Source organism: Homo sapiens, chromosome 11, assembly GCF_000001405.40.
Source record: "Homo sapiens chromosome 11, GRCh38.p14 Primary Assembly".
Lineage (NCBI taxonomy): Eukaryota > Metazoa > Chordata > Mammalia > Primates > Hominidae > Homo > Homo sapiens.
Window position 1 is genome coordinate 8,630,890 of NC_000011.10, and position 18,657 is coordinate 8,649,546.

General features: G+C 45.9%; 1 protein-coding gene across 36 annotated transcripts in view; it reads right to left on the reverse strand.

The window, feature by feature from the left end:
- Positions 1–18,657, reverse strand: part of TRIM66 (tripartite motif containing 66) — a 71,192-nt gene that overhangs the window by 18,850 nt on the left and 33,685 nt on the right. For 32 of the 36 annotated variants that reach the window (XR_930930.2, XR_930929.2, XM_017018629.2 and 29 more), the window contains 7 exons: positions 17,527–17,659; positions 17,081–17,197; positions 15,558–15,672; positions 14,852–14,998; positions 12,120–12,237; positions 9,338–10,263; positions 7,765–7,926 (listed from right to left, as the gene is read on the reverse strand). Coding sequence is in view for 33 of the 36 variants with exons in the window: in XM_017018629.2 (XP_016874118.1) it covers positions 7,765–7,926; positions 9,338–10,263; positions 12,120–12,237; positions 14,852–14,998; positions 15,558–15,672; positions 17,081–17,197; positions 17,527–17,659 (1,718 nt within the window). In the remaining 3 variants the exon portion in view is untranslated. Of the gene's footprint in view, positions 1–7,211; positions 7,293–7,764; positions 7,927–9,337; positions 10,264–11,747; positions 11,952–12,119; positions 12,238–14,851; positions 14,999–15,557; positions 15,673–17,080; positions 17,198–17,526; positions 17,660–18,657 lie in introns of those variants that run through there. The other 4 variants (XR_930931.2, XM_011520527.2, XM_047427948.1 and 1 more) reach the window with 4 other exon arrangements.

Genomic DNA, 18,657 nt, shown 5'->3' on the forward strand with positions numbered 1-18,657 from the left:
CTACTAGTCACCTATGTGACCCTGCACCCATCTAACCTGAATTCTGCTTGACCTGTGCTCTGTCACCTGCTGCCCTCTCTCTCTCCTCACTCTTACCACCCAGATGTGTTTCTAGAGTTCAGTGTGTTGACATTATTATTCTAATGATTGCCACATGGTATTGTCAAAATTCAGATAAAACATTGCTCTTTCATTTTAACAGGAAGGGAAATTGAGACACAGAGTGATTACCTAGATTTCCCAAGCTCATACAGGTCCAAGACTAGGAATCTGGGACCAGCCTTGAAAACAGGCTGGCTAGTCTTGATTCTGTGCCAGAAGCTAGAAAGCTAGTGCCCTAGTAAGAAATGATTGAGAAATCAATAAACAGACACTTAGTGCACATGCCCTGAGTTTAATATAAATTTCAGGTTCTTACAGCAAGATAATATTGCTGGGGATAAAGTAATGCAGATAGGGTGGTGTTCCACATAAATTAACTTTCCAGTTATCTGAAACATACCTCTTTCAATAACAAAATGCAATTGGCTTAAAAACATTATTTCAAATGGGAGTACTTCTAAAACACTTTACACACTCTTCTGTCTTATTAAGCAGAGCATAAGGAGGCTAAGGAGACCATTTCTTAGTGATATCAAGGAATTTGGATGAACCAATAAGTAATTCAGTGATGCTTTCGGGAACTTCTAAGAATGCAGGGCTTAGCTTGTTCTTTCAGTGAATGACCTCATACCGTGGCACTTTTCCAAGTGATGTTTCTTGTCTTCTCCCTTGTTAGCTGCCCTTATAGAAATCTTGACTCCCTGCCTCTACTCTGCTTACTACTATAATGTAGCTAAACTAAAACTTTCCCAAGAAAACCATATATTTAAGCTTGCTAGATCAAGAACACCGGCTAGATACCCACATATGAGTTTATGATTTCCTACAGAATATAATGCATGAGTTTTGTGATGGCTGTTTTTGCTGCTGTTCCAAAGCTTTGCCTCATCACTTCTAGTTTCAGATTTCTGTTCTAGTGGTTAAAGTAATCAGAAACTGACCACTGTGTAAATATGCAATAGAAAAAGGGACCACAGATTTGGGAGTTGTGTCTAGGAAACACACTGAAGGCCTTCAGTCTAGCTAAGGAAACAAGAGAGAGGAAAACAGATTGGTGAATTAAATCCTCAAAATATGTGAATGCGCCGGGCATATCACCTGAGGTCAGGAGTTCGAGACCAGCCTGACCAACATGGCAAAACCCTGTCTCTACTAAAAATACAAAAATTAGCTGGGTGTGGTGGCATGCGCCTGCAGTCTCAGCTACTCAGGAGGCTGAGGCAGGAGAATTGCTTGAACCCAGGAGGCAGAGGTTGCAGTGAGCTGAGATCATGCCACTGCACTCCAACCTGGGTGGCAGAGTGAGATTTCATCTCAAAAAATAAATAAATAAATAAATAAAGTGAATGCTTCAACAGCTTCAAGATTAAGTAGACTGGTTTAACAGTAGCAGATCTTGAAACAGAATCAGATGGCTGAGGAAGGGACTAACTTTTCTAGTAAGCAGTTTCACATGTTGATTTTTTTTTTTTTTTTTTTTTTGAGATGGATTCTTACTCTGTGGGCCAGGCTGGGGTGCAGTCAGACGATCTCAGCTCACTGTAACCTCTCCACCTCCTAAGTTCAAGTGATTCTCCTGCCTCAGCCTCCCAAGTAGCTGGGATTATAGGTGTCCACCACCATGCCCAGCTAATTTTTGTATTTTTACTAGAGATGGGGTTTCACCATGTTGGCCAGGCTGCTGGTCTTGAAATCCTGACCTCCAGTGACCCACTTGCCTCGGCCTTCCAAAGTGTGGGATTACAGGTGTAAGCCACTGTGCCTGGCCCTCACATGTTGATTTTTAATGGCAAAGTTGTTGCTCTTATTGACAATGAGTGTTCCTCCATCTCAAGAGAAAGCTCTTGTACTTATTAAGGCTGTCACTATGGATGTAACTATGCAGATATATGATAACTTAGTAAAGCCAAATGAGAAAAGGTTCATGGGTGGTGAAGGGAGAAGTGAAAAGTGCCCAGTGCCCTGATAATCCAGGGAGGACAGAAAAAGTAAAGAGGATCTCAGAATCTGAGGTAGAAGAAAGAGGAAAGGAGTAAGTGGATTCTAGTAAGTCTGAAGTGAAAGCCTGATGAGTGGAACCCTCAAACCCCAAGGCTTGGAGACTCAGGAGAATTTGGTCAAAGGTATTTTGCCCAGGCCAGTGTAGGAAACTGACTTAAAAACGTTATTTTGAATACAAAATTAGCCAGGCATGGTGGAACATGCCTGTAATCCCAGCTACTCAGGAGGCTGAGACAGGAGAATCGCTTGAATCTGGGAGGCAGAGGTTGCGGTGAGCCGAGATCGTGCCATTGCACTCCAGCCTGGGCAACAAGAGTGAAACTCCATCTCAAAAAAAAAAAATTATTTTGAATAGGAGTACTTCTAAAACACTTTACACACTATTCTGTCTTATTAAACAGATAGGAGCAAGGACCTGTTTTCTCATGGGCCAGGAGACCTAGACAAAAATCTTAGGTTTGGATGGTGAATGAAATCAGGATAGAACTAAGGAGACAGGCTTCTTAGAGTGTGCTAAGTTCAGGAGCCAGACTTGGGGAGTGTTTGGCCTGACTCTTGAGTAGAAAGAGTGTATAATTCTGCAGATGCTGACCAGGACGCAGGCTGTGCCTTAAGAAAGCTTCAGCAGGCCCCGGGAACATTCTGAGCAAATGCTGCTGTCAGGGCTAGGCTATGAGGAAAAGATTGTCCCTGAGGTTGAGGACCCACAATCTGATCCATAGCAGTAGCTTTGGAGACTATGGAAGCAGGATGCCTAGTATTTACTCACAGTTACCAGGGTTTAATGAGTTTAAGCAAGTCATTGTCCAGCTTTGGGTTTTAATTTCCTCCTACACAGCTTAATGTAAATCTCACTGAGTTTTTATAAGACTCAAATTAAGAGATCGGGCATCAAAATGCTTTGATAATGGTATAAATACTATCTGCCTGGGTCATTATCCTTTACTCCTCTGTATCACTCTTAATAATCTGCATCACAGGAATGCCTACCGCTTCTGTATCATTTACTGGAAATACATCTCAGGCTCCTAAGCCATGAGCCGCATGCTGGTGGCCTCGAAGTCCTCTCTTGAAGATCTGGGGCTATGTTATGAGCAGCAGAAGAAAGGTCCCTCTTGCAGGTGAACTGGGACCCGGATAGGGCTTTCTGTGATGCCTACAGCTTTGACTCCATGAGAGCTTTTCATTTTCTTAAGACAATCTCGCTCTGTTGCCCAAGTTGGAGTGCAGTGGCGCAATCTCGGCTCACTACAACTTCCGCCTCCCAGGCTCAAGCAATTCTCATGCCTTAACCTCCTGAGTAGCTGGGACCACAGGCATGCACCACCACGCCTGGCTAATTTTCTTGTGTTTTTTTGTAGAGACTGGGTTTCACCATGTTGCCCAGGCTGGTCTCGAGCTGTTGAGCTCAAACAATCTGCCTGTCTTAGCCTCCCAAAGTGCTGGGATTATAGGCGTGAGCCACCACACCCGGCCAACTCCTTTGAGGAAAGGATTGTGTGTATTTTTCGGCAGTTGACTGGTTCAGAAGCATGAAATGAATGCATCAAAATGTCTCCCAGTTTCACTTGAGATGTAAGGGTTGCTGTGGTAGGGTTGTAGCCATGGTCTTTCTTTCAGAGTGGCTGAATCAAGATTAGGAAGCTTAGGCAACAGCTGGTGCCAGGCAAATACCAAAATTCATTCAAAAGGGGTTGCAGAGCTCAAGCCACTAGAAAATCCATTCTAGAACTTTCACATCTCATTTTCAGCCGCAACCTGTTTCCACCATCGGCTCACATAGCACCAACTCCAAGGTACTTGTACGCAGATGTTCTGCTTCACCAAAAGTCCTCTTTTGGTGAAATACAGTCAGTGTGGAACTCGCAGAAAGGTGCGTGGTGCCACAGGTTCTTCTGGTCCATGACCTTCAGATAGATTCTTTTGACTTTCCTGGCACTCACAGGCCAGCACAGGCTGGGAGTGGGATGGAGGACAAAACACCTTTACCAGATAAAACAACCAATACCAAACTAGGCTGGGTCCTAAGACCTCTCCCCAGCAAAGCCTCGGGCTACTTCAAGGATTGTAAAGACAGGAAAATCCAGCAGGTAAGAGGCCAAATGGAGTCCTATTTCTCCCATTGCAGTGCAGAAAGAGAAGCAATTTAACCTAGTCATTGAACACAGAGCTGTCAAGGACCCGTGGTCTGGTCCTAACATTGCCCAATGGGTTGGCTGCATAACTCTTAGGTGGGTCACTTAACCTCTCTGTGTCTCAGTTTCCACATCTTTCAAAGGGGAATAAGAAAGTGGCTTCCTCATAGTATTGCTAGGATAAAGAGATAAAATGAAATAATCCATGTAAAAACCTATGAAAAAATTAGAACGATACTATACAAAGTATTATCACTCAATGGTAAAAGGCTCAGAATGTTGTTTGCTATCCTTGAGCTTCACACCCTCCACCCTGCCCAACCCCAGCTCCAAGGCAACAAATTTCCTCAAAAAGAAAGCCCTTTTCCTCATTGCAGTAGTTTTGTGGACAACCAGTGGCTCTCACTGTCAGGGTTGATCTCTCTCTGCCAATCCAAAGCTTCCTCTAAGCCAGGATGACAAACTTGAGGGTCCTTTTTCTGGGAGTTCAAGCCATCAAAAGCCTATGAAACACATGAAGAATGCCAGGCCATCTGCCCCTCCAAACCTCTACAGGAGTCCCTTTTAATAAGGGGCAGAAGCAGCTCAAAATGAGAAGATAGAATTCCTAGGACCTTTGCTAACCCCATTGCCAACTTGCAGCCACACAAAAGGGCAGCACCCCTTGCTGCTCAGGGAACCCTGTTGGCCATTCACACAAGCAGCACTGACTCCATGCATGTATGTCGCTCAGCTCCTTTCCTCTGCTCTGTGTATAGGAACAGAACTGAACCTCATCAAATGAGAAGCAGCATTTTCTGCATGGCTTCCACTACAACTGAGCACTGGCAATGAAACCACCTTTGCAAAAATTATATCAATGAGCAAATTATGACAGTGAAAAAGATCTGATCTAACTTACCCACTCCCACCCCTTGCCTTTCCCGTAATCATTCCTGGGCCTATTGTAGACTGGCCTTTTGAGATATCTTCTCAACTTTTCTGCATGTCTGACATCCATGGCTTCACCCAGATCCATCAATCCCACTCCTGTGGCCCCACCCAGAAGCAACTCAGCTCAAATGGACAGCTTTAACGCATGATTTCATCTCCATCCCAACCAATCAGCAGCAAGCACCTATTTCTAGCCACCCCCACCCCTTCCCCAAACTGCCTTTGAAAAATCCCAGCCTCTCATCAACTAAACTCTTTCTCTACTGCAATGCCATGGTCTTCACTTGTGCAGCAGGCAAGAAGAACCCATCAGGCGGTTACAGCAACTCTCATGCTTGCTTCTGAACTACTGACATCTAGAGCTAGCTGCCTTCAGGTCATCTTCTAATGTGTATTCCACAAAAGAATAGCAATAATTCAAAACTTAACTTCTTCCCCTAAATATGCTCTTTTTCCCATGCTCCCATTCCAGTGGGTCAAGACAGATCCACTGGGATGGGAGCATGGGAAAACACCTGGGTGTTAAGCCAAAGGGCTTTCTCTGCCTTACCTATCATCAATTAGACACTGAGGCCAAAACTCCTGTGATCTGATATCTCTTGAAATCTTTGCTTCCTCTCCATTCCTATTGCTATTGATTTCATTCATCCTCCTGTTTCTCCTCTGTACTATTCTGGTCTCCCTTACCACAGCTAAAGTGGTCTTTCAAACTTAATTCAAACCATATCCCTCCTTTCTGGAAGTCCTTCACTTACTCCTCACATCCCCCAAGACTGAATCCCAGTTCCAAAGCATAATTTAGAAGGCCTTACAGCCCCTCTGGTTTCAATCCATCCCATTCCCCAGTGCATCTCGTGATCCTATCAAGCCAAATTACAAATTATCTGAAGCCCCCCTAACTGCCCCAGGCTTTCTCTCACTTCTGAAGCTCCCTAGTTGCCATTCCTTTTGACTATTTGTTCTACCCCTCTACCCTTCACTAGCCCAACTTCTCCTTTTCAAAATTTCAGCTTAAAATAATGTCCCCTAAGAAGTCTTCTGTCAACAGCCCCCTCTCCCAGAGCTAGGTGCTCCAATGGGGTGTACCCCAATGACTATTATAGCACTTTACCACAATTTATTATTGTTGATTAACTGTCTCTTCCACCAGACTGTACTCTCCAGCATGGGACCGACTATCTTATTCACCAATGTATGCCTGGCACCTAGTAGAATATGGGGCACATACTCAGATATAGATATAGATATAATCATTTAATGCATATATATATATATATATATGCATTATATATATGCATTAAATGATTAAATAAATGGATGAATGGTTAGGTGGCTGGCCCAAATACAAGAAGTTAAACATCTAAGAGCCACAAAGGGCCAATATACAGTACCTCAAGGGCCTCTATGCCAAGTCATTTTCAACAGGGTAGGACAGGCACAGACAAAAAGCCTCAAAAGTCACCAGCAATTTCCAAGCTGACATTTCATTTTTGCCATCCCTTCTTTTTTCTAAACTCTCCTCAAGTGTCACGGAGACTGACTGTTCTAAGACATGCATTGCAATGGTACAGAGCTAGGGAAACTTGGTGAGGGGCAGGTACACTGAGCAACCAGCATAGCTGGGCTGCAGGGCCAGAGGGATGCTACAGGGCCAAGGGTACAGGCTGGGAGAGTTCAGAACACCTGACAGAGCTTCAAGTCCAGGGCTGGGTGGAGGCACTGGAGAGCTGAGGGCACCAGGCCAGAGAAGACAATAGCGTAAGTGAAACAGGGCCAAGGGACACTAGGAGGAATGGGTGGAGGACAGGCACAGCACTGAGGCTCCAGCTAGATGTATGACAGGGGTTGGGGGTGAAGGGGCAGAGGTGAGAATAGATAGTTGAGGATTTGTGGGGTTCTGGGTTATGTCCAGGGTAAGCGAACACTTTCAGTAAGCTAGTAGGTGGGTGGACAGAAAGGCCTCCAAGAGCTCATCTTCAAGAGATCTCTGTGTCTCAGCTGCTCATCTACCTCTGTAGAACATCCCTGCAGATCACTCACCCAACAAATTCCATTGATTCAAATCCTAAGGTATCCAACTCTGGGTTGTGGAGGCCACAAAAAATATTTTCCCCATCTTCACTGTGGACAGAAAAGTTCAAGCTTTGGATTCTAACTGATCTCATTTTAAATAAACCTCAGCTCTCTCGTCTACTAGCTGTAAGGCCCTGGACTTCAGTTTCCTTAGCTGTACAATGGGGATGCTCACTTCCACAAATGTTGGAGGTGAGGTGAGATAATGCTGGTGAAGCAGCACACACGGTTCCAAGCACAGAGTACATGTTCAATAAATTGGCTCTCTTTCCCTTCCTCCTTCCACTCTGCATGAAGCCCAGGAGGTCCCATTTTAAGTGTGCGTGGGGGAGTGGAAATGGGGAGGAGGAAGATCTAGGTTGCTGACTCACTACGGCAGAAGGCATGAATCAGGGCTGTGTAGCGTCCAGGGATGGAACAGGGACGCTCCTCCCCCCACCCTATCCTCCTCCTCCAAGTGCCTGGGGTCTTGGCTGGCAGTGGGTCCCATGTAGTTAGGGAAAACAGGCTCCTTCAGTACCTTTCTCACCACATTTGGAGAGGAGTGCTGGATGGTGCTGTCCACTGGGGGGACACTGAGAGGGGTTTCTTCCCCAGACGCCTGGGGCAAGGCAGCAGCAGTATTCTTGTCAAGAGGGAGAGCCGGCTTTGAGCCCTGAGATGCTGGGGGCTCATCTGTAGCCTGGAGAAGAAAATAAGAACTTGGGTGGGTTTTACTGCAGACAGCGTAGCAGCAGCAGCAGTGGCAGCAAAGGCTAGTGCTCACCCTGCCATGTGCATCATCACCACTTGCACATTGTGGACTGCTTAAACGTTTTCCAAAAAGAAAAATACTCTTATCCCAACTCTTCCAAAGACTACACGCTAATGGGAATGTCTTAGGATGAAACCCAAACCAAGAATTCTGAGCTAATTTTGTGATATTCACTTTAGCAATCATAACCTAGTTTTGACTTACATTTTAGCTTGTGGCCCTCTATGAACCCTAGACCCTTCTCTGCCATCACATGGATTATTCTATATCTCCTCAAAAGAACTGGGCCTCAGGGGAAGACATTGAAGCATGATCTGAAGTTGTCAGTACTGAAGCGTAAATGTGAGGCCTTATATTCTATAATAAAGTAAAAATCTGTAAAGCTGCTTTGAAGATATAACTGTGATTACAGATTTAAAGGGGATACCACTATAGAAAAAGTGAGAGAAGGGTAGAGAAAAGAGGATAGAACAGGAGGTTCTGGGGGGAAGAAAAAGAAAATCAAGAGCTAAGAATGAAGATGTGAAATGTAGCAAAGATCCCAGGGGTACAAACTGCACCTCTTCAACTGTTTCAACTGTCTTTTAGCTGAGAAAAAAGAGGTGCACCATCCAATATCCTCCTGTGGAAAGAAGACTTCTGTGGCATTACAGAAATGTCAGCAGACCTGAATCCAAGTCTTAGCTCTATCTCTCAATGTTGTATGATATGGAGACAAACTGCTAGCCTTCTCTAGCTCCCACTTATATACCTATAAAGCAGAGATGGTAATGCCTACCAAACAACATTGTTGGTAGGATAAATGATATGGTGCATATAAAACATACCCAGCTTAGTAGAAGTAAAAAAGTTTAAGTCTATATCTGTGCAGTATTATAAAAGTGCTGCCTGCCAGCATCTAACATGGACCCTCACTCTGCTCCTTAAGCTCTGCCCTCCCCCTGTCTGGGATTCATAAGGTCCGGCAAGGGAGCTAGGGAGATGACAAGATAAGAGACAGCCTCTCTTCTGCTCTGGCACTGGCAGGAGTTCAGCACAGCTCAGAAGGTACCATCGGTGGGCAGGGTCCCTACTGTCATCCAGGAAGACAGGGCTAAGCCAAGCTACTCCGGAGTATACTGAGCCTAAATCTAATTTGGGACTGGGTACTATGCTCTCTGGAGCTTTTCTGAGGTGGGAGGTTGAGCCCAGCATAGTTTTGAAATGTGAGGGCTGAGCTCAAGGCAGCCCTAAGGTGCAGAAACTGTATTCCTGTGCTGCCTTGTTTTTGGGGAGGCTGTGTTCCCTGAGTGATCCTACGATGGGCAGAATATGCACGCCAAGCCACCCTGACGCTTACCTGCAGGGTCTCCTCCTGGCTCTGGGACTGGACAGGTGCTGGCTGCCTCACGATGTAGTTGATCTGCCCCACAATGGTTTGCTGAAGATGCTGAGGAGATTTGGTCTGACTCAGTTGCAGGCTGGGCTGTTGAGCCTGGAGAAGAAGCTCCAAGTCCTTCTGCATTTCCTCCAGCTCAAACTTGTGATGCATTATGTCCATGTTCTGAGAACAGGCAGGGCCAGGAGGGCTCTCGTGCTGACTAGAAGCCAGATGCTGGGATGGAGGAAGAGGTGGGTGTGGCTGCTGTGGGGGAGGGGGAAGGGGAGGTGGGGGATGGGGGAGGGGTGGTGGTGGAGGTGGTAGCTGCTGCTGTGGCTGCTGCTGAAAGTGACTGAGCTTCAGCTTCTGGTGGTGGCCAAACTGGACTTGGATAGAGGGTGTCTGTAAGGTGGGCTGGGCATGGGCTCCTTGCTGAACATCCTGTGGGGGGACAATGCACACGGGCTGGGAAGTCAGCTGCTGCCCCAGCCGCTGGGATGTGCTCTCCTGCTCCACGGGGGGCTGGGTTTCCAGCCAGGGCTGCAGCAGCTTTGGTGGATGAGGGCTGCAGGCCAGCTCTTTCTCCCTGGGCAGCAGGGCAGAGCACTGCAGAGACCCCAGCTGCTGGGGCACCATCTCAGGGGGCTGCCTGAAGCTGTGGGCTGGGTGTATGCTGGGTGGGGGGACCTGGCCTTTGAGGGAAGGCGAGACTGGGGAGCAGTGGGAGCAGCACACAGATGAGGAGCACACTGCTGGAGACTGGAACTTGTGTGAGGGGTGGCTAAGAGCCTCTTGCTGAGCCACTGGAGACTGGTGGCTTTGATAAAAGGGTGATGACCCCTGTAAGCCTCCATAAGCAGGAGCATCTGCCCTGGACATTTGTCCACCTTCAGTAGTTATGCAGCCTGAAAATGCAGAATAGAGAGTTTTTCAAAAGTTTTTCAAGTTGCTCCCACCTTGCTACTTCCTGCTCCTGGGACAAAAGAACCTCATTCAACAATCCTGTACCAGGAACAGAGATTAAGAAACTCAACCCTTGATCTCCTAGACTCGGTCTAGAATGCTGCCAGTAATAGCACCTGTATGCACCTGCTTTGGGGGCCTAGGATATTTGAGAAATTAGTTCAGCTTTTACCAGATGCTCAGCCCTGACTCTGTTTCTGTCCCACTAGGGAAACCACAAGCTCTCTCAAATAGCACCCACTCATTTTTTTCCAACAGAACAGCCCAATCAGACTCTCACAAAAAGAATCAACTTTGGGGTTGGGAGGGAGTATGCTAGAAAGTAGCAAAGGGTAGAGAGCCATGCCTGGGACCAATGAACAAGTTCCCAGATACAGGTGTGGGGAACTGTGTGTTGAGCAAGTAGGACGGAAGAGAGTGGGGAAGCTCTAATACCAGGTGATACAGTTTGGAGCTGTGTCCCCGCCCAAATCTCATGTTGAATTGTAATCCCCAGTGTTGGAGGTGGGGCCTGGTGGGAGGTGACTGGATCGTGGGGGCGGATCCCTCATGAGTGGTTTAGCACCGTCCCTTTGGTGCTGTTCTTGTGATAGAGGTCTCGTGAGACCTGATTTCTTTAAAGTGTGTAACACCTCCCCCTTGCTCTGTTTCTTGCTGCTCTGTCCATGTGATGTGCGTCTTCACCTTCTGTCATGATTGTAAGTTTCCTGAGGCCTCCCCAGAAGCCGAGCAGGTTCCAGGATCATGCTTCCTGTACATCCTGCAGAATCATGAGCCAATTAAACCTCTTTTCTTTATAAATTACCCAGTCTCAGGTATTTCTTCACAATAATGCGAGAATGGACTAATACACCAGGTCAGTGCCAGGCACCGGCACTGCCCCCTGAGGCCTCTAGGTCCCTTGTGCACAAGTAGATCTATGGCTAACTCAGTCTAATGACTCCTTCCTCTCATTATTTTGGTGAGACTTACTTAGAAGAAGTCTGAGCTCCTTAAGGAAAATGTGTTTTATTCACCATTGGTTCTTTGGTGCTCAGCATGGGGCCTAAACAAGAGTAGGTGGCCATCAAAGGTCTGCTGAGTTAAATCAAAGGAAAGAGGGAAGAAAAGAAATAAACCTACATATCATTTGTCACTTTGCCAAGTTCAACAAATTTTCAATAAGATTAACAGCCTCAAATGAAGGCAGCAGCTGGCCATCAGTTTAACACTCGTTAGGCTGTCAACACAGGCACAACTTCAAGCTGTCTACATTCTGCCTAAAGACTGAATGCCAGCAAATGATTGCAGCAGGGAAGAAAAATGCACAAGGCCATGAATTATCTGCTTACATCTCAACTCGAAAGGATATGTCTGTGTGACACAAACATGCACACGCAGTCTCACTGTTGCTGAGATACCCCTGCTTGTGCCCACACGTGTATACCTTTGTGTGACCACAGAGACACACATTCATCTGTACTGCCATACAGCATTCCGGAGAGCAGGGTGACTGTCTTGTCTCCTCCTCAGCAATAAAACCAATGTAACAGGACATTTACACAGAATGGTAAACTCAGATTTCAACTCATCCTGATACAAAGTCCTATATTGCCACTGTTATTTAATTCCTCATCCTCTCCTCTTCCCCCTCAAAAAAAAAAAAAAAAAAAAAAAAAGGTTTGCTGAATGATTCCATGACCACTGGCAGTCCCAGAGAGTGCTTTCTCTTGGGCATATGCTGACCTACCCAGTAAGGTAAGCAATTAAGTCAAAGCCCACAGGGTGGGTAGGCCTGGGTGGGTGGGTCCAAGCTCACCAAGAGAAGCTAGCTGCTTGGTCCAGAAGTTAGGCTCCCAGGTGAATCTGATACTCCAAGGGGAGCCAGGATCTGTGTTACAACTTGTCTCCAGCAATCGCTGCATCTGAAACACAATCTGACAACAGCACCAAAGGTCATTTATTTGGGCATCTTGCACCTAAATGACAACTCCCCTTCCCTTACTCTTTGGACAAGCTGAAAGGCTCAAAGTCATGGCCCTTTAACCTCTGGTCATCCTCCATATTCTCATTCTCTTGCACCTTAGCACCTGTCCATCCTCCCAGCTGATCCCTTTCCTCTTATCAAGGCTCCTGGAACCTACATTCTTTTTTTTTTTTTTTTAATTGAGACGGGGTCTCACTCTGTTGCCCAGGCTGGAGTGCAGTGGCGCGATCTTAGCTCACTGCAAGCTTTGCCTCCCAGGTTCACGCCATTCTCCTGCCTCAGCCTCCTGAGTAGCTAGGACTACAGGTGCCCGCCACCACGCCCAGCTAATTTTTTGTATTTTGTTTAGTAGAGACGGGGTTTCACTGTGTTAGCCAGGATGGTCTCGATCTCCTGACCTCGTGATCTGCCCACCTCGGCCTCCCAAAGTGCTGGAATTACAGGCGTGAGCCACCGCACCTGGCCTGGAACCCCTACATTCTTATCTTTTCAGGCCTTAAGTGATTTGTCATTCTCCCTCACTACATCGTTGACTGGCAGCTCCATTCATTCTACCATCACCTCAATTTAAAAGCCTAGTGGGGGCAGGCATTGTCTGAGCTCCCCATTGCTGTACTTCCACTTGCAGGTAAAACACCCTTCTGTCCTACTCAATAGCCCTCTTCCTCTCCCAACACTTTCATCTATTTCTCATCACTAACTCTCCTATTTATCCAGGGCTTTGGCAAGTGTCCAACTTACCCTGCTATCCTCTAGTTAACTAATGTCCCAACGAACATCTTAGCCTCTCATTTCATTGATCTCTTGCATGGCAACCACCTTGTTTTCAGTTTAGTCACCATACCTAGACCCTATTCATCATTTACAACCATTCTACCTATGAGACCTTTAAACTCCAACAACCCACCCTGGTCATAACAAGTTCATGCTCTTTCAGAGTATGTTGTTCAACCTCTCCAAGCCCTGCTCCTTCAGTCCACAGGACTTCCCAGCTTCCTTTCATTTACAGTCATGATATCACTAGTGTCCTAATTCCCTCCCCATCGCCAACTCCTACTCTTAGGTAATCCAGCCATACCAAAGCCATGTTATCTGGGGCCACTTCAGTGATTATGAATTTCAGCAGCACCCCTCAGCCCTTTCTCTTGTCACTTCTTTTCTTGTCATCTTTCTCTTCCACTGCACTCAATGACCATTTAAAATCTTTACTTTGGTGCTACTTACCAATGTTTTAACCCTCTTATTATCACCTCCTATTTCACAGAGAAAAAAAAGACACCATAAAGGATAAATTACCCCAACTTGTATCCCTTCTACCCTCAAACTTAACTACAGCATTGTCCCCTTCCTGTCCTCCCATCTCAGACGAAGGGACTGTCCTTGTGTTTAAGGTCAACCAGTTCACTCTATATCCTTCCTCCTGCTTTCTCAGTGTACTTACCCCACCACACACCCCTCCTCTCTATCTTCAACCTCTTCTCCCATATACATGTGTGCAAATGTTTTCCAAGCTTAAAAAAAAGTTTCCCCCAACTCTGCCATCTTCTCAGGCTATGTTTTTATTTTTCTTCTTTTCACTTCTGTCTCTACTTCGTCACCACCCATCCTCAGTCTCCTCATTCTAGCTTTTGACCCTTCTACTTCACTGGAGCTTCTTTCAGAAGATAGCCTGATTCCCAGATCCAGAGGCTGCTCGTCACTATTCATCTTCTTTCACCCATGCAGCATTGTCAAATGGACCACTTAAAATTGGAAACTGTTCATTTCTGTGTACCACACTCTGTTTTGCTTCTAACCTCTGACCATTGCTTCTCACCTCTGACCACTGCTTCTCACTCTCCTCCAGTCATCATCTTCCTCTGTCTATGCTGAAAATGACGGTATTCCCTGGGTTCCTGACTTTCTCTCTTCTTGCTCCACACACTCTTCCAAGGTGATACCACTGATTTCCTGGTGACTCCTACATCTCCTTCTCCAAAACCAACTTTTCTTCTGACTTCCACACCCATATATTAAAACGGCTTTTTAATGGTAGGTAGCTTGGAGTTGGTTTTGGATGCACTACAGGCACCTTAGATTCAAAGTATTCAAATATAAACTCCATCGACTTCTCTCAAAATTCTTGCTCCCTCTCCTGGGTGCTGCCGTCCTCTCAAGCCTAATACTTCAACCTTATCTCCAACTCCTTTTCTCTCAGACCCCCGTGTAAACCCCAGTAACTTTCTATGAGATGCCCAGCACACTGCTCATGTCCAGGGTAATGTCTGAATCAATTACCTATGACAAAGAACTACAGACTTTCCCAACTGAGCTACCTTTGGGAGGGCAGGACCATTTCAGCACCTGTGTCCTCTTTGCACTATGGGATTTGGTAAAAGATGGTGTTTACTTACTAACCCAAAAGCAGTGATTGAATTTGAAGGATGGATGGAGCTGCTATGTTATTCCTCCTTCCATCCTAAAAAGAAAAGGCACTTCCAAGGACTGCCTCATTGCCCCTCTGACAAAGGGGATGCTCTGATAAGCTTCAAGGACAGGCTGAGGAGTTGGGAGATTCCTCTTACCAGCTCTTTGCTGAAAAGAAAAGGGACACTGGTTTTGCTGCAGACAGCCCAGTTGATGAAATTCTGCACATGCTCAAACTGACGGTTGAGAACCATGATGCTCTGTAACTGCTGTTCCAGCTTCCGCTTTCTCTCATTAGTAATCCCCTGGGTACAGAGAGAAGACAGAGTCCTTGATCCTGTTACTGGACTGTAATCCACCTGCTTGGGAAGTCTGGTGGCTTGTGTGTGTCACTGATGGAATCAGATGAGACTACACCCCTGAGAGGACAGCAGGGCAGAGTGTTGCCATGGGATGCTGGCTGATGGAAAAGGGGAGGGGGAGATGGTGGGAGATTTTATAGTGCAAATATGGAATGGGTAATAAATGAAAGAGGAAATGAATAAATGTCTACATCTCTTGGGCATAAATTGGTGAAGAAGGTGGTTTGTTTCATGACTTTCTCTTCCAAGACTATAACCCTGAGCAGTTAAGGATGGAAGCTGCCTAAGAGACATAGCATCAAAAATCAGTTTGAACTGATTTTCTAGCCCTTAATGAGCCACCCTCCCAAAATTAGGCTGACATTTTAAAATACAGGGAGCAGCACAGAGCTATGGAAGCTGCATATCTGAATTACAGCCTAGGCTTCCCTAGGTCCTGGGACTAGCTTGATATATGGATGGTTTCTGAACCCAACCATCTGATCCATCTGTCTATACATACCTCTAATTCCTCTATTAGCCCATTGGCCTGTTTGTTCAGCTCATTCATCAGAACCATCTTGGCCATTTTGATCTGGTTTTCCACCTTCCTATGCTGATGCTTCACTTCAAAAATCCTGTAAACACAATGGGACAAACCATGGTAAGCTTTCCTCATGGACTATATGAAGACGAAGAGACAGCAAACATAAGAACCAACTTGGAGGCTGCCTACTGAGATCAGGGCCTAGCAGACACCAAATACAAAAAAAAGAGAGCCTTCCTCCACCATCCCACCTTTTGTACAAAGCCCCACTTGATCAAAGTTCAGCTTGGTTTTCTCTAGGTAAACCTCAAGTCTACACCAAGGTCAACCCAGTAGCCCACCAGTTGACACAGCACTAGAGGTAGGACCAAAAGAGAAAGTATGGGAATAATTTACTGTAATTTGTTGTGTTTAAAAGGAGGATGCTCCAATAAATGTCGCCATGAGGTAAAAAGAGGCAGAATGCATACTGCCTCAGTAGTTTCTGAGGGCCGGGGGGTGTTGGGGGAATGGAGAGTGACTAATAATGTTTATATTATTGGCATAATAACATATTATATAATAAACATATTATATAATAAACAATAATAAACATATAATTATATAATAAACAATAAACATATAATATAATGTTTATTATAAACATATAATAATGTTTATATTAATGTGGCTTCTTTTTGGGGGGATGAAAATGTTTTAAACGTAGACAGTAATTATGTACAGTTGCACAATTCTGTGAATATACTAAAGGCCACTGAATTATACATTTAAAAAGAATAATTTTATGATACGTAGATTATATCTCAGTAAAGCTATTTTTAAAAATTTAAAAAGCATGGGCATTGAAGTCACCACAGACCTACCATCTAAACCCAGCACAGTCACTGGCTAGTTGTGTGATCTCAGATGAGTTACCAAACCTCTATGAACCTCAGTCTCCTCATCAGTAAAATGGAGAAAATCGCTAACTGAAAGAATGGCAAGAACTGAACAAAATAATGCATATATGATACCCAACCCAGTGCCTGACACATGAGGTGCTCTCAGCACCTACCACTTCCTCTTCCTATGTAAAATACCAATGATTTCATGTGACTTGTAGATTTACAGAGAACACACAGGGAAAGGGGTGATAAAGCACAGATTGCCCCTGGTTTGTTCCACCCTCATAATAAGCAGCACTCTCTTCCCTAGTGTCTGCTTGGTACCCTTGTTCTCAAGCACCGACTTCTGGCTAGTTCATAAGGCATATTCTTTGACCCAGACTCACTCTGATCATCCTGACCTAGCTTGGTCTCAGCCACCAAGGGATGACTTAATGACCCCTCCCTGGCCCTGAGACCTCAAAGGCCAAGACATATGCCTTCTAGGACATATGCCCACATCTGCTTAACCACAGTTCCTCTTCACAGGCACTACATCTGACGGCCTGGTGTTGGAACCCTGGGTGTGCGGGAACAGAGCATTTCCAGCACTGGCAAGGCACTAGCCTGTGCTACCTGTCCTCAATTTGCTTTGCAGATGTCTGTAGACTGGATTTCTTATGTGCCACCTGTGTAGTCACACCTTCCAGAAGCATCCTCTGGTTTTGCAAAACTTCTTCAACATGTCTGCACCTAGGGGATGAGGCAGAGAAAAAGCTGAGAAGGGCTGAGTCCTACTTTGAGCATGCCAACCAAGCGGGAATCTCCACAGGGAACTGTCTCAGCCAGACCCATGGAAGCTGTGATGACTTCTAGGGAAAGTCTAAGGCACCACAGGCTCTTGGCCCATTAGGCCTTTTCCAGGGAAGTCCTACAACAGGAGCAGAGAAAAACTTCAGCCCAGGGGCTGCAGGTTGGCTTGGGCAGGGAGAAGATTCTGATGCACGGGGATTCCCAGAGCTCTCACAAGTAAGAAATCCAGAGCCCTCCCCAGCCCATTTCAGGCAGTCTGTCAGCCCCACCTGTGTTCTTTGTGTTCCACCACTAGGCAGCTATGGCAAGTGAGCATATCACATGTCTCACAGAATAGCTTGAGTACTTCCTGTGTGTGTAGAGGACAATACAAGGTGAAGTCTCCGGGACCACCATTCACTCCTGCCAGAGAAGACAGAGAAAGTGAGCTTCTCTTGCTCAGGTAGACAAACCTCTCAGTTAAGCTTTGCTGCACAGCTCTCAGCCTTCAGAGGACACTGCAGAAATACAGAGCTCGGGGGAAGTGTTATAAACAGGAGATGACTCTCCAGGGGCACAAGGAGGATTTTGGGCTGAGCTTGGCTGGATTTGCCCAGTTGTCCAGAAATAGCACACCATCAAGCCCAAGCATCCCACTACCTGCCAGAGGCTGAGGAAGGCGCTTGCTACTACTCCACATAGATCTCCTGCAAAATAATGAATCCTTCACAATTAACCTTAACCTGTTCATTAATCAGGATTCTGTTTTTAATGGAGCTGAAACCAGCTATCCAGCCTTGCCAGGCTCCAGGCTAGATCACGTGGATCATGAACTCTGGTTCCTGTGGATTTGACAGTTGTAGAACCCCTCCCACAATTCAAGGGCCTTGAGAAAAGACTTTCAAGAAGATTGTCATTTAAAACAGATGGTGGCTGGGCGCAGTGGCTCACGCCTGTAATCGCAGCACTTTGGGAGGCCAAGGTGGGCGGATCACCTGAGGTCAGGGGTTCAAGACCAGCCTGGCCAACATGGCGAAACCCCATCTCTACTAAAACTACAAACATTAGCTGGGCGCGGTGGCGCATGCCTGTAATCCCAGCTACTTGGGAGGCTGAAGCAGGAGAATCGCTTGAACCCAGGAGGTGGAGGTTGTAGTGAGCCGAGATCATGCCACCGCACCCCAGCCTGGGTGACAGAGTGAGACTCCATCTCAAAAAAAAATAAAAATAAAAATAAAAATAAAACAGATGGTGCTGGGTAGACAAACAAACAAGCCCTAATCCAGACTAAGTTAATCAAGTAAATAAATTAGAAGGGTAACATGATTACTCTAGAGGGGAAAGGCAGGGAGCTCAGCCAGCTTCCACAATAATTCAACACTTTCCTCTCTATACCATTTCATCCACACTCATCCACCCCC